This window comes from Homo sapiens, chromosome X, assembly GCF_000001405.40.
Source record: "Homo sapiens chromosome X, GRCh38.p14 Primary Assembly".
Classification (NCBI taxonomy): Eukaryota; Metazoa; Chordata; class Mammalia; order Primates; family Hominidae; genus Homo; species Homo sapiens.
The window spans coordinates 74,220,910-74,236,658 of NC_000023.11; the positions used below are offsets into that span (position 1 = coordinate 74,220,910).

The following is a 15,749-nucleotide window of genomic DNA, read 5'->3' on the forward strand; positions in this document are numbered from 1 at the left end:
CTGAGCTCTGTCATCTCCAGACTCTGTAAAATGATTTCTCTTTGAACTCCAGAGTATCTTATACATACCTCCATTGTAGAGCATACCATATTGTTGTAATTATATGTGTACATAGATGTTGATCTCTCTCACTAGACTGAGAACTCCTTGAGGACGGGGATGGTGTCTAATTCATCTCCATATCCCCACTACCCAGCACAGTGCCTGGCAGCTCAAATGACAGCAGAGAGGAGAGATGCTGAATATGCAGGAGTGAGAATAAAGCAATGTTCTTGAGTAGTGGTACAATACAAATATGCTGAATGAATTGAAGCTATAGAAAAACATTTTGGGGCTCAATGTTGTAAAGAGGTCTCAAAAGAAGGGACAAGCTAACTCAAGGAGGAGTCCCCAGTTACCAAGTAAACTTACTCAGAAGTTAAAAGACCATTTGTTGGGTATGTTATCCAGGGACTTGAACTGGGGTTAGTTTAAAATAATCTATTTGGGATAGGAGACTTTTAAGGTCCTCCCATACTGGAGCTTCTAAATCTATGATCAGTGCCACAGTCAAGAGAGCCATCATTCTGAGAGCCTATGTCACAGAGTGAATGGTGACTCCCACAGTTGTGGACAAAGGCTAAAAACAGATCACAAACTTATAACTCATTTGGTTGGGTGTGGCGGTTGACACCTATAATCCCAGCACTTTCGGTGGCTGAGGTGGGCAGATCACTTGAGCCCAGGAGTTTAAGACCAGCCTGGACAACATGGCAAAACCCCATCTCTACGAAAAATACAAAAATTAGCCAGGCATGGTGACATGTGCCTGCAGTCCCAGCTACCCAGGAGGCAGAGGTGGAAGGATCATCTGAGCTCAGGGAGGCGGAGGCTGCAGTGAGCTGGGATTGTACCACCGCACTCCAGCCTGAGCAACAGAGTGAGACCTTGTCTTAAAATGATACAAAAACAAACAAAAAAAAACCCTCATCCTCTGTTGATCCTGTTCCCAATTGACCCTTGAACCTGGCGCAGGAAGTGTTTTTAAGGCCAACAAGAAGGACATCATGACCCTAAATATATCCTCTACAAGCTGCTACCTAATGTTTTAAATTCCCCCTTAAACCTTTGGTGCCTTTCATTCATGTTTGCTAAAATGCCACTTAATCTAATATGTTGAGCTAGTATCAATTAACTTTACACTACACAGTAGATACAGGGAACACACCATCCATTCCCATACCCTGTGAGATCATCTAATCCAACCCTCTTGCATTAACACAAATCTAAGAACATCCACCAAATGTCCAGATTTTTAACTCTGGTACTCAGTTTCTTGAAGTGCAAAATACAGAAGTTGTATTGAATAATTCCCCACATCCCTTCTTCTCATGATATTCTAAAGAGCTTCTGAGCCTGTTTTCCACCTATAAATTAGACACATTGGTGAATCTGTTCTTATTCCTAACCAAACTGTTATAAGGGTCAAATAAAACCATGTTTGTAAAAAGCTTCTAGAAACAATAAAGTACAAAACTAAATCAATTAACTAAAAATAAAAATAAAAAGGTTGGGCTCGGTGGCTCACCCCTACAATCCCAGGACTTTAGGAGGCTTAGGTGGAATGACTGCTTGAGCCCAGGAGTTCAAGACCAACCTGGCCAACACAGCCAGATGCAGAAAGGAAGGAAGGAAGGAAGGAAGGAAGGAAGGAAGGAAGGAAGGAAGGAAGGAAGGAAGGAAGGAAGGAAGGAAGGAACGAAGGAACGAAGGAAAGAAGGAAGGGCTATACAAATGTAGGAGAATTAAGCTATATGTGTGGGGGAGTGTGCTCTGCCATTAATTAGACATTACCTTAGAAAACCTACTCTACCTCTCTAACATGCCTCAGAGGGTTGGTGTGATGATTAAATGGGAACATGTAAAGTAGCACACTCATTTGCCAATCGAGACCTTCACAGAATCTCAGGAATAAAAGTGACCTTCGAGTGCATGTAATCCAACTCATTCCACCCAAGGAGATTCTGAAGTTCAATTCCCAGTGTTCATACAAGCCTCTAGGTGTCACTTCCAAGAATCATCTTTGGAGAGTCCTTAAAACTGCTTCTCTATTAATTAGAACTGCCTTCAAAAGCAGCAAAAGACAACTGTCCCTGACCCAATAAGAGATCTGAAAACAGACAGAAGACAACAAAGCAAAGACAAATTCTTCTTTTTGGAGTTCTCCTACAATATAAACAGCTCTACTTCCTATGATGCTTCTCATAACATCTACATTCAGATCCCTCTCCGTATCATGGATGTTCTCCTCCAGCTTCCTCTCAAAGAGTTGCTCTTAGAATTAAAATAAACTACCAAATGGAACAGAATTCTTATCTTCTTTGGTTCCAAATACTTTTTTCTTTTCTTTTCTTTTTTTCCCTTTCTTTTTTTTTTTTTTTTTTTGTGAAATGGAGTCTCACTCAGGCTGGAGTGGCACGATCTTAGCCCACTGCAATCTCCGCCTCCGAGGTTCCAGCCTCCCCAGTAGTTGGGATTACAAGTGGCACTACCACGCCCAGCTAATTTTTGTATTTTTAGTAGTGACAGGGTTTCACCATGTTGGCCAGGCTGGTCTCAAACTCCTGACCTCAAGTGATTCACCCACCTCAGCCTCCAAGTGCTGGGATTACAGGCCAGCTGGCCCCAAATACCCACCTACCTACCTACCTTCCTTCCTTTCTTTTTTTTTTTTTTTGACAGAGTCTCTCTCTGTCTCCCAGGCTGGAGTGCAGTGGTGTAATCTCGGCTCACTGCAACCTCCACCTCCCAGGTTCAAGCGATTCTCCTGCCTCAGCCTCCTGAGTAGCTGGGACTACAGGCCCGCACCACCCCGACTGGCTAATTTTTGTACTTTTCGTAGAGACAGTGTTTCACCATGTTAGCCAGGCTGATCTCGAACTCCTGACCTCAAGTGATCCACTTGCCTCGGCCTCCCAAGGTGCTGGGATTGCAGGCATGAGCCACTGCGCCTGGCCCTAAATACTTTTCTAGTAAGAACATAACCAGTTACACTGAAGGCTTTGAAAGTCTTCAACTGGTATGAATCCTAAAAAAAAAAAGAGCACCAAGTCTACAGGAGCTTTCAGGATGGAGAAAGCCCTTCCAAATGGGAAAGGAGGTCAAACGGATGCTGCCATTACTGAAAACAAATGCCTTACTATGTCATTTTCCTAATACCAGCTCTCACCTCTGGACTTACCTAAACCAGGAATACAGAACATTATAAATAATGCAGGCTGCTAGGAACATTTGAAAGAAATGGTAAGATCAAACACAAAACACATTTTGAATGACATTCCCTACTGATTGGCTCTAGTCTATGCAGATGACATCTACACTTTTCCCACCAGAATTGCACTTCCAAAGACATCTTTTTTTTCCAGAAAATGGGGGAGATTAAAAGTAATAAGTAGAATATACATACGCAGATACCGAAGACCCGAATAAAAGGAGAAAAATATTACATTAATGTATGGGAAGATTGTAAAAATGACAGCTCTCCCAAAATTAATCTACAAATTCAGGGCCATTCCAATTTAAATTCCAGTGATATTTGTGAACACTCGACAAGCTGTTTCTATAGTTCACATAAAATAACTACATGATAATGAGATAAAATTTTGGAAAAAAGAAGAATGAGGGATGTGTCCTGCAACATAAGGTTGTTATTAAAAACTAAGCATGTAGGAAATGACAGCACCCACATTGTCTCATTACAATGAAATAAAAACATGATTTTTTTGAGGAAAAAGAAAGCCAGAAATCCTCAACATGAAGCATCACACTAAATAACTATTGAGTAAAAGAATAAATATAAGTTATAATCAAGCATATTTAGCAAACAACAAAACAAGAACATTACTTAGGAAATTCAGCCAATGCTATCATAAGTTCTCTTATTATAAAATAATGAAAAAGAATTACTCTTAGTAAATATAACAAACATAATGAGAGGAGAGAAAAGGGGCAGAAAAAATATGTGAATGAATAATGGCTCCCAAATCCCAAATCTGATCAAAAATATTAATCAATATGTGCAAGACCAACAAATGCCAGAAAGGATAAACTGGCAGGCTGAGGTGAGCAGATTACTTGAGCCCAAGAGTTCAAGACCAGCCTGGGCAACATGGCAAAACCCTGTCTATACCAAAAAAAAAAAGAACAAAAATTAGCTGGGCGTGGTGGCATACACCTATAGTCCCAGCTACTCGGAAGGCTGATGTGGGAGGATTGCTTGAGCCTGGGAGGTGGAGGACGCAGTGAGCTGCGATTGTGCCACTGCACTCCAGCCTGGGCAACAGAGCCAAACCCTGTCTTAAAAATAAACTCAAAGACATTCAAATTTACACATAGTAGTAACATCATCAAAGCCAGATGTCAGAAAGAAATTTTGAAATCAGCAAGAGAAAAAACAAAATAAAAAACATCACATTTAACTGATCTTCAATAAGATAATCAGCTGACTTCTTATCATAAATCAGAGACCAGAAAACAATGGGAAATAATTTTTTTTCTTTTTTCTTTTTCTTTTCTTTTCTTTTTTTTTTTTCGGGGATGGAGTCTCACTCAGCCGCCCAGGCTGGAGTGCAGCGGCGCTATCTCGGCTCACCACAGCCATCATCTCCCGGGTTCAAGCGATTCTCCCATCTCAGCCTCCTGAGTAGCTGGGATTAGAGGCACCTGCCATCATGCCCAGCTAATTTTTATATTTTAGTAGAAACAGGGTTTCACCATATTGGCCAGGCTGGTCTTGAACTCCTGACCTCAGATGATCCGCCTGCCTCGGCCTCCCAAAGTGCTAGGATTACAGGTGTGAGCCACTGTGCCCGGCCAACAATGGGAAATATTTTCAAACTGCTAAAGTAAAAAGAATGCCAACTGCAAATTCTGTATCTAGCAAAACTATCCTTCACAAACAAAAGAGAAATTATGGCATTTGAAGAGTCACAAAAATTAAAAGAATTCAATGCTAGCAGACCTGCCCTACAAGCAATACTAAAGGGAGTGATTCAGAGAGAAATGAATGAATACTAGACAGTAACTCAAATGCATGAAAAATAAACAGCACCACCAAAGGTAATTAAATAATTATAAAAAACAGAATAGATCTATTTGTGTAATACTTTTCTTCACAGATCTATATTAAAAGACAACTGGATAAGGAAATAATTACAAAATGTGTTGATATGCCTATATTGTGTAGAGATCTAATTGGTATAGTAATAATAGCACAAAGGACGGGGAGAAAATGGAAATATAGTGAAGCAAATTTCCTATGCTATTGAAACTAAGTTGATATTAATCTGAAGCCAACTATTTCAAGGTAAAATGTTAATTTTAATATCAGGGCAAACAATAAAAACAAAAGTAAACACAAAAAAACATTAAAAAATGAGTGGGAGAGGGACTTAAAATGGTACCCAAGAAAATAGTTGTTTAATAAAAAAGTCAGTAATGAAGACATAAGACATGGGGAAACAAATAGCAAAACAGCAGACATTAGTGCCCCCCTCATCAGTAATTACAAACATAAATGAAAGAATACTCCAATCAAAAGACAGAGCTTGGCAGAATAAATATTTTTAAAATATGATCCAGCTACATATTATCTACGAAACACATACTTTAGATTAACAGGCACAAAAAAGGCTGACAGTTAAAAAATGGAAAAAAGATATACCAGGCAAGCAGAAATCAAGGGAATTCTGGAGTAGCTTTAATTATGTGACAAAATAAAAGGAAAAATAAAATTTGCCAGGCATAGTAGCTCATGCCTGCAATCCCAGCACCTTGGGAGGCAGAGGCCGGGAATCGAGATCACTTGAGTCCAGGAATTTGAGACCAGCTTAGGCAACATGGTGAAATTCTGTCTCTACAGAAAAATACAAAAAAATTGCTGGGTGTAGTGGCGTATGCCTGTAGTCCCAACTGCTCAGGAGGCTAAGGCACTGAGTTGGAGACCTCAGTATGCTTTCAAAAATAAAACTGGGCAGAAAAAGAAGAAAATAGAAGACTTAAACAACACTATAAAACCATATCACCTAAACATACATAGAAAATCCACCCAACAACCACAGTATACATATTATTCTCAAGTGTACATGGAGCCTTCTTCAACACAGACCATATGCTAAGTCATAAAACAAGTCTCAATTAATTTTAAAACATTGAAACCATACAAAGTATGTTCCCCATAACAATGAAATGAAATTAGAAATCAATTTAAAAAAAGCAATTTGGGGAATTCACAAATATGCAAGTCAGGTGCTGTGGTTCATGCCAATATTCCCAACACTTTGGGAGGCCAAAGTAGGAGAATTCCTGGAGCCCAGGAGTTCAAGATCAGTGTGGGAAACATGGCGAGACCCCATCTCAACCAAAAAAAAAAAAAAAAAAAAAATTCTAAGTGTGGTGGCACATGCCTGTAGTCCCAGCTACTCAGGAGGCTGAGGCAGGAGGATCACTTGAGCCCAGGAGGTCAAGGCTGCAATGAGCCATGATTGTACCACTGCACTCCAGCCTGGGCAACAGAGTGGTACTCTGTCTCAAAATAAACAAACAAATATGTGTAAATTAAACAACAAACTCCTAAACAACCAATGGATTAAAAATGAAATCCCAAAAATGATTAGAAAATACTTTGAGATGAGTGAAAATGTAACAAAACATAAAATTTATGGAATGCAGCAAAAACAGTGCTTATAGGGAAAAGTAAAACTGTGACCATCTACATTAGAAATGAAGATCTCAAATAAATAAGCTAACTTTCCAATTTGAGATATTAGGAAAAGATCAAACTAAAATTGATTAGGGGCCAGGCACAGTGGCTGACACCTGTAATCCTAGCACTTTGGGAAGCTGAGGCAGGTGAACTGACTGAGCTCAGGAGTTCAAGACCAGCCTGGGCAACACAGCGAAACCCCGTCTCTACTAAAATACAAAACATTAGTCAGGCATGGCAGCATGTGCCTGTAGTCCCAGCTACTCAGTAGGCTGAGGCAGGAGAATTGCTTGAACCCAGGAGGCAGCGGTCGCAGTGAGCCAAGATCACGCCACTGCACTCCAGCCTGGGTGACAGCGTGAGACTTGGTCTCAAAAAAAAAAAAAAAAAAATTGATTAGGACAAAGAAAATAATTTAAAAAATAGAGTAAAAATAAATTTAAAAAACAGAGAAACAGAAAATTAAGGAAAGCAAATGTGGTTCTCGAAATAATTTTAAAAATGAACAAATCTGTAGCTAGACCAAAGATGAAAAACAGAGAAAACACATATAAAATCAGAATAAAAAAGACATTATCACCAATGTTATAGGAAAATAAAAGAATTAGAAAGGAATACCATCAAAAGCAGTATGCCAATTAGATACCTTATACAAAATGTTTGTTTTTAGGAAGACACAAACAACCAAATCTGACACAAGAAAAAAAACCTGAATACTTACAAAAACAGAATTGAAGGCCGAGCACGGTGCCTCGAGCCTGTAATCCCAGCACTTTGGGAGGCTGAGGCGGGCAGATTACCTGAGGTCAGGAGGTCGAGACCAGCCTGACCAACATGGGGAAACCCCTGTCTCTGCTAAAAAATACAAAATTAGCCGGGAGTGATGGCGCATGCCTGTAATCCCAGCTACTCGGGAGGCAGAAGCAGGAGAATAGCTTGGACCCGGGAAGCGGAGGTTGCAGTGAGCCGAGATCGCGCCATTGCACTCCAGCTTGGGTAACAAGAGTGAAACTCCGTCTCAAAAAAAAAAAAACAGATTGAATGGTTAATCTACAAAATTCCCATAAAGAAACATTCATGAACAGATGACTTCACTGATGATTCTGCAAACGTTTAAATAATAAACATCAGTTATTTACATAACTTTTCAAAAAATATTACAGGAGGAAACACTTCCCCAATTAATTCAATACATGATATTTACATATGCATGGTATTTATAGAACAAAGATAAAACCTCATGATTGTGTCAACAGACATAAAAAAGCCATTTGACAAAATTCATTTATAATTTTAAAATCCTCAACAAACTAGGAACAAAGGGATCTATCTACATTTGACAAAGGGTATCTACAAATACTGTATAGCTAGCTCTGTGAACCTAGGCAAGAAAAAGAAAAAAAAAACCATACAGCTAACATCATTTAATAGTCAAAATCTAATTGTATTACCCCTAGTCAGAAACAAGTCAAGGATGACTGCTCTTGCTACTTCTGTGCCGGTTTTCGCCATGGTGATTAGGCAAGAAAAAGAAATAAAAAAAATCAATGCAATTGGAAAGAGAGTACAACTATCTATATTTATAGGTGACATAAACATAAAAACCCAGAGGAATCCACAAAAAAATGCTAATAGTGAAACTATTAGAAAAGCTTTTCCAATAAGTTCAGAAACATTGGAGGATACAAGATCAACAGAAAACTAATTGTATTTTAATACACTAGCAATGAACAATCCAAAATTAAAGTTAGGAAAATAATTCCATTTTCAATATTATGAAAAATAAAATGAATAGAAAGGTATCTATTGTTAATGGATTGGGAATATTAATATTTCTAACATGGCAATACTCCACAAATTGATCTACAGATTAAATGCTTTCCTTAGCAAAATTCTGGCATTTTCTAGAAATTTACAAGCTGATCCTAAAATTCATATGGAAATTCAAAGCCTTCAGAATAATCAAGGCCAAAGCAAAGAACAAAGCTGGAGAACTCATACTTCCAGATTTTGAAATTTACTCCAAAGCTACAATAATCAATACTGTGTAGTACAGGCATAAGGATAGATATAGAGATAAATAAAATAAAATTGAGAGTCCAAAATAAACTCTTATATTTAGAATCAACTGATGTTCAACAAGGGTACCAAGACAATTCAATGATGAAGTAGTCTTTTCAACAAATGGTGCTGAGAAAACTGGATATCCATATGCAAAGGGACTAAGTTGGACTTCTTCCTTAAACTATATACAAAAGTAAATTCCAAATGAATCACACACCTAAATGTAAGAGCTACAACTTAGGTCAGGTAATGGTTTCTTTGTTATGACACTAAAATCACAACTAACAAAAAAAAATAGATAAATTAGATTTCATCAATATTAAAAACTTCTGTGCTATAAACAATGTCATCAAAAAGGTGGAAAGGCAATACAAAGAATGGAAGAAAATAATTGTAAATCATGTATCCAATAAGAGTCTGTTATCCAGATTATATAAAGAACTCTGATAACAACAAAACCACATATAACCCAATTCTAATGAGCAAAGGATTAGAACAGACATTTCTCCAAAGATACACAAATTACCACTAAGCACATGAAAAGTTGCTCAATGCAGAAATACAAGTCAACAGCACAATAAGATATTTCATATCCACTAGGTGGCCATAATTTTAAAAGGCAGAAAATAACAAGTGAGAATATGAATAAATGTAATTCCTCATATTGCAGATGAAAATGTAAAATGGTGCAGGCACCTTATTAAAATTTGTTAATTACCCACAACATTAAACCTAGACATGCCATGACAAAGCAATTATACTCCTTAATGTATACTCAAGAAAAATGAAAACATGCCCACATAAAATGTTGTACATGAATGTTTTTAGCACCATTACTGACAAAAGACAACATCTGTAAATGCAAACATCCGTCAAATGATGGATAAACAAAATGAAATATATCCATACAGTGAAATATTATTCATCAATAAAGAACAGTAATATATACCATAATCTAGATGAATCTCAAAAAAACATGGTAGTTAAAAGAAGCCAGTAACAAGGGTAAGAAATTGCATGATTTATATGACTGCCCAGAATAGACAAATCCATAGGGACAAAAAGCTAAATTAGTAGTTGTCAGGGTTGGCAAAAGGGAAATAGGGAATAAGTGCTAATGAGGTGGTGATGAAAGTGTTGTAAACTATAATAGTGGCAATGGTCGCACAACTCTATGAATATACTAAAAGTCACTAAACTTTAAAATGGTGAACTTTATATTATATGAATTATATCACGAGTTCTTTTCTACAAAAGAAGGTAATTACCTTATCCAGAGTATAGTGCTTAGCAGGATTGCTGAGATAGGCATTCCTACTCCAAAGCATTTACTCTTACTACAAATTTCAAATACCATTTGTTAACTGTAAAACCTTTGGCAAGTTGGCCCCAGGTAAGGTTTACAGTTGATTGACCATGAGTGAAGGTAGAAGATTTGTACAAGCACCTAACTACTCAATACATGTAGATACACAATAAAAACAAACAAGCAAATGTTAGGGAAAGTAAAGGAATACCACATGGCGATTAGTACTATAAGTGAAACACTTTCATCCAACAGAACATTTAAGTTTTCCAGTGACGCCATGAAGTCAAATGATCCCATAATACTTTTGGGCTAAATAATAATCTAATAGAGGAGTAGCAGATGTAAGACTGCAAAAATGAGTCACTAAAGAAACTCAAAACTAGATAAAGGTACCACCCTACATTCAACCACCGGTGGTGAAAAACCATAGCAGAACCGCATCTACAATACATAGGGCATGCTGACCTAACTAGATATTTTTCAGTGAAAGATTTGAAAGTACAATAATATCTAATTACCAGTATAAAGCAGTGGAAAATAAATTTTCTTGCAGGCAGATAAACCCCAAAGCCTACCAAAATATAGTCTTCTTGGTGACTATGGTGTAAATTAATACTATTTAATAAAGGACAGCAAGATAGAAGCAATGACTGCACACCACGATAAAATTCTGGAATACGTTTCTTGTTAAAGTAGTTAAGTCAATCTTTGCAGTATGACAAATCATGGGCTGTGCTTTCATAATATGGCAAGTTAAAGTACCTCAGGAACCATTCAACCTATGGTTAGCAACTCTTAATAACTAACATTTTACCAACAGAAAAAATTCCAGACAGCCAATTGGAGTGGCAATGGGTTAAGTGGTTAATACTATTGGAATGCACCCTTTCTAAATAGCAACGTTGAATTAAAGGTAAACAATGAAGTTACACGTGTAAAGCACTATAACGTGCTGAACCACCAGGTGACAACACTAAAGCACACTACCTAAACAAATTTTGCCATGAAAAAAAATTATTTTTGAAACCAGAAGTGAGATGAGAATGAAAATACTGTGAAGTATATAATAGGGGCTGCTAGAGAACACCAGCAAAACTAAACCATCACTCATTACTGCATCATATTTATGGACCCTAGATGACTGTTTAAAAAAAAAAAAAAAACCTGGGAAGACAGAGGACAACTATAGGAAAAGCACATTGATACATACCATGTTTTTTATTACACAACAGGACTTACCACAGGGCATGTGCTTACTGGGGTACATTTAACAAAAGTCAACTGAACTTACTGCAACAAAACTACAACATGTAGGCCAGGTGTGGTAATTCCAGCACTTTGGGAGGCCAAGGTGGGAGGACCACTTGAGCCCATGACTTTGATACCACCCTGGGTCACATACCGAGATGCTGTCTCAGATAAAATAATAAGATAAAATAAAATAGTTGGGCTGGTAGTGCACACCTGTAGTCCCAGCTACTCAGGAGGCTGAGGCGGGAGGATGGCTTGAGCCCAGGAGTTCAAAGCTGCCATCAGCTATGATTGCTCCACCATGTTCCAGTCTGGGTGACAGAGAGACCTTGTCTTAAAAAAAAAAAAAAAGTACAACAGTACTTTTAAAAGCATGTGAAATACCAATACTTGTAAGTTTTGAAACAGTAGTACATTAAGCCTTTAACACTAAAATATAGTCCACAGATGTGATGAATTCCCATGAGGTCAACTCACTTAGGAGAAACACATTAACGCTGGTGCCTGATGAAAATAATCAGTATATATTTAGTTTAATGGCAACGATAAAGCAGAACCATGTAGCTAATAATAGTACTGAATTAAACAAGAAATTGTACATCAACACACTTTACTAGACAATATTAAATACCTATGCAGTCTATAAGCCAGGAATTGTAATTAGAAAAATGCGTAAAATACATCATGCACCCTTGGAAATCCTCAACATAGCACAGTGATTAGGTTACCATATTAGTTTTCACTCTAGAATTTCACACCAAATTAGTTATGCAAGCTATGCAACTATTCAGAAGGACGCACTGTGGACTAAGGTGGTACTACAGAATTTCCACAAATTAGGTAGCAACACTGGGCACACTTCCAACAATGCAAAGGATGTCAAAACCTATAAACCAGAACTTGTAACAAGCCAAAAAAAAAAAAAAAAAAGACGCAAACATCCATGAACATTTTCAAACATATTTTTGGCTCACTAACACACTGACTAGGGTACTGTATTAATATCCCTATGAGAACCAAATCCATGATAACAAGCATCCAACATAATTTCAGAAGGACATGCTGTGGACTAATGGTAGTACTTTCTTTTCCACCAAAAATTACTTTGTGTACACAAGGAGGCCATACTGAACATACTTTCTGACAATAAGGGAAACAAAATAAAACAGAAATGGGGGGAAAGAAGCCTAACGTTACAGTATTCTCCCCTTATCTATGGTTTTCCTTTACAAAGTTTCTATTACCTGGGGTCAAACGTGGTTCAAAAACATTATATGGAAAATTCCAAGAATAAACAATTCATAAATTCCAAATTGTCTGCCGTTGAGAGTAATGTAATGAAATCTCAAACTGTCCAGCAAAAAGAATCACCCCTTTTTCCAGTGTATACCCCACATTATATGCTACCATCCATTAGTCACTTAGCACCCTTCTCAGTTCAGATTGACTGCTGCAGTAACACAGTGCTTAACAATGACCCCAATATAAGAGCTGTGATGCCATCAATACAGACGTGCCAAAGAGAAGCCACAAAATGCTTCCTTTAGTAAAAAGGCGAACATTTTCAACAGAATAAGGAAAAAAAAATTGTATACTGAGGTTGCAGTAACAAATTTTCTAAGTGCACTTTGGGAGGCCAAGGTGGGAGGACCATTTGAACTCAGGAGTTTGAGAAATTGTGCAGGAAAAAGAAATTCGTGCTAGTTTTGCTGTCACACCTCAAACTTTGCCACAAGTATGTATGTGTAGATAAAAACATATAGGGTTCGGTACTATCCAGTCTAAGGGATCCACCAGGAGAATTAGAACCTATCGCCCATAGATAAGTGGTGGAGGAAATTACTGTACAGGAAATTAGCCACTTTAATATAATTACACTGACCGATTTTAAGATGTCACCTTCGTGTGGAAATAAAATGACATTATATGTAAACAGCTTTTAACTGAATATATTTTTTGCCTCTATAGTAAGGAGATCAGATTATATTGTTATGATCTTCCTATAATCAAATTTCTGATGGGAATGGTGAACTAACATTTCTAAAAGGTCTTTTGGGTGAACTGAGTACTGCAAGGTTTCCATAACAATGCTTCTTTCTAGTCTTTTTATTCCAATAGAGTACGCAAATCTGGACAGCTCCTTGGAGTTTCAAGGTTCAAGGATGAAAAATCTAGTTTATGTGTTGTATACAGCTAATGTCAAGCCTACTACTTCACATACCATGTAACAAAAACTGAGCTATAAACAAGGAAATCATACAAGCAAAACTACATATCAGAACCTACCACAATAGCTAAAAATCACAATGCCCTCAAGAAAGCTACATTAATGTTGGTTTACTAATAGAACAGCAAACTAGATAGCTACTGGAGTAATAATCTCTGAAGGGCAATATTACCAATGCCACTATCACAAACTATAAATAATCAATTACTAGTGAATTTCCATTATCATTGCTTAGTGCAACAGGAAGTCACAAAATTTAGAGGTGCATGATAAACAGAATGGGAAGGCACTACAGGTATCAGTAAATAGCCCTCCTAATACCTCAAACAGTGGAAATACACTATTGGCCCTCAAAATCCTACCAGAGTACTCTTTTAATTTAAATATATGAATAAAGGACACTTAACAATTATACAATACACTAGTGATTATGAGAGGAAGTGTTGGATAGTAATACTAGAAAAAAATTAGGGAACCATTTCAGGTACGTGCAGTTCTGCCAAGGGCACAACCATGTGGACAAAATTCATACTACACATCTATCGTATCAAGTTACTTCACAAGACAGCACCAAATCTAATAATTCATATGGAAAATAGAGTTGACCATCACTTCTACAGGGCCCTTAATTTTAGAGGACTTTAAAAGGGCATAACTGTAATGAGACAACAGGGAACCAAAGAATTACAGTACCAGTGTACAATAAAAAATTACATTTTAAAACTTTGAAGGTCTCTACCAATTTCAATATATTTCTGGGCAAATAGCACTGAGCCATTAAACTGTAGTGCTAATGGAACTGATTTCCTAAACTCACATGAACCTCCAACCATCTATATCAGCAAAATGCAACACTGCATGGTACAAATTATGTACCACAGAACTTGTGATTAGACATCAACTGTCCAGAATTCCACAACAAATCTGGAAAGGCCCAATATATTACAACCTATGAAAACTGAACACTATTATCCTGGAGCTACTGGGATTGAACAAATGGCCATATGAGAACCAAGAGAATCTGGCAAATATTTTTGACTAAATTCACCTATACTGTATATACTTTGTCAAAAGTCCTTATAAAAACTATTTTTGTCTGTAGGACAAGAATGATATTTCTATTAATTAGGAGCAGATACAGATTCTTAACTTTGGACTCTATGCCACCAGCTAAAGAGCGCTGCTGTGTAGACAAATTTAGTACAAAACTTCCAGTTGATTCATTACCAAGTCCCTGAAGAAGCACCAAATTAAAAATTTTAAGATTACAAATGTGCTAGATAAATACATGCTACCATTACAGGGGAGGGAGTTCTAAAATTACTTGCAAATGACAATGGTTAAGAAATCAAATTTGGTTATGAAACATTCAGGCTAAAGGATCAAAGCATATATACCTCTACACTTAAAGCAAAAATGTTGGTTGCTTCATCAAATGTCTTTATTATTGAATAATTGATTTCCAATGTTGCTGAAGTGTTATATTAAGAGGAATTTTCTTTTTTCATAAATTTATCAATTTATAAAGGGCAACATTGTGAGGGCAAATAAAGCACTACTTAAGATTCAGAGTAATGAGTTATTTGTGCAAAATACATCACAAAATTTGGCATTTAGACATGCGAAAAATATGGGCAATAAGATACTACTTAACATTGCCAAAAATTCATGACTCCCCTCGCCAACTCCCCACTCCCAAGAAAAAGTACATAGGTACTAAACTTATGGAAATACATTGCATTGAATAGTTCCTTTAAAACCTTTATAATTGGCTGGAAAGAACGGAGGAATTCTAATTGAACTAGAAAATACACAAGAAATGTGCATGTAATGTACTCTCTAAAGGGACAACAGAGTGGACAGTCAAGGAACTCCACATATTCATAGTGTTATTTGCAAGTTTCTAAGCAGCATCCACAAATAAAAAGTAGGTGGCTGAAGTTACAGGCTGATGTTACACATTAGTAACACAATGTGATCACACAAATTTGGCAAAACATAAGTATTCAAGTTTGAGTTGAATCAATTTGACAAAGCATATGTCAAACAGATGTCAGATAGCAAAAGGCTACATTAGGGACTACAGATTTGCACGTTAGTTGTTCACCATCTCAAAAACAAGTACCAAACCTTTAATTTTATTGAGTACATTCACT

At 37.1% G+C, this 15,749-nt stretch overlaps 1 long non-coding RNA gene across 1 annotated transcript in view, besides 2 other annotated features; it reads right to left on the reverse strand.

Moving 5' to 3' along the window:
* The window catches only part of FTX (FTX transcript, XIST regulator), a 265,439-nt gene that overhangs the window by 192,774 nt on the left and 56,916 nt on the right, over positions 1-15,749 (reverse strand). The gene's annotated exons all lie outside the window — the stretch shown is intronic.
* Positions 1,254-1,754: an enhancer, noted in NCBI's record as "H3K4me1 hESC enhancer chrX:73441998-73442498 (GRCh37/hg19 assembly coordinates)". NCBI's record gives its function as "activates a minimal SCP1, AML or CMV promoter by ChIP-STARR-seq in primed H9 embryonic stem cells {active_cell/tissue: H9 hESC(primed)}" and the evidence as "EXISTENCE:reporter gene assay evidence [ECO:0000049][PMID:30033119]".
* Positions 1,755-2,255: an enhancer, noted in NCBI's record as "H3K4me1 hESC enhancer chrX:73442499-73442999 (GRCh37/hg19 assembly coordinates)". NCBI's record gives its function as "activates a minimal SCP1, AML or CMV promoter by ChIP-STARR-seq in primed H9 embryonic stem cells {active_cell/tissue: H9 hESC(primed)}" and the evidence as "EXISTENCE:reporter gene assay evidence [ECO:0000049][PMID:30033119]".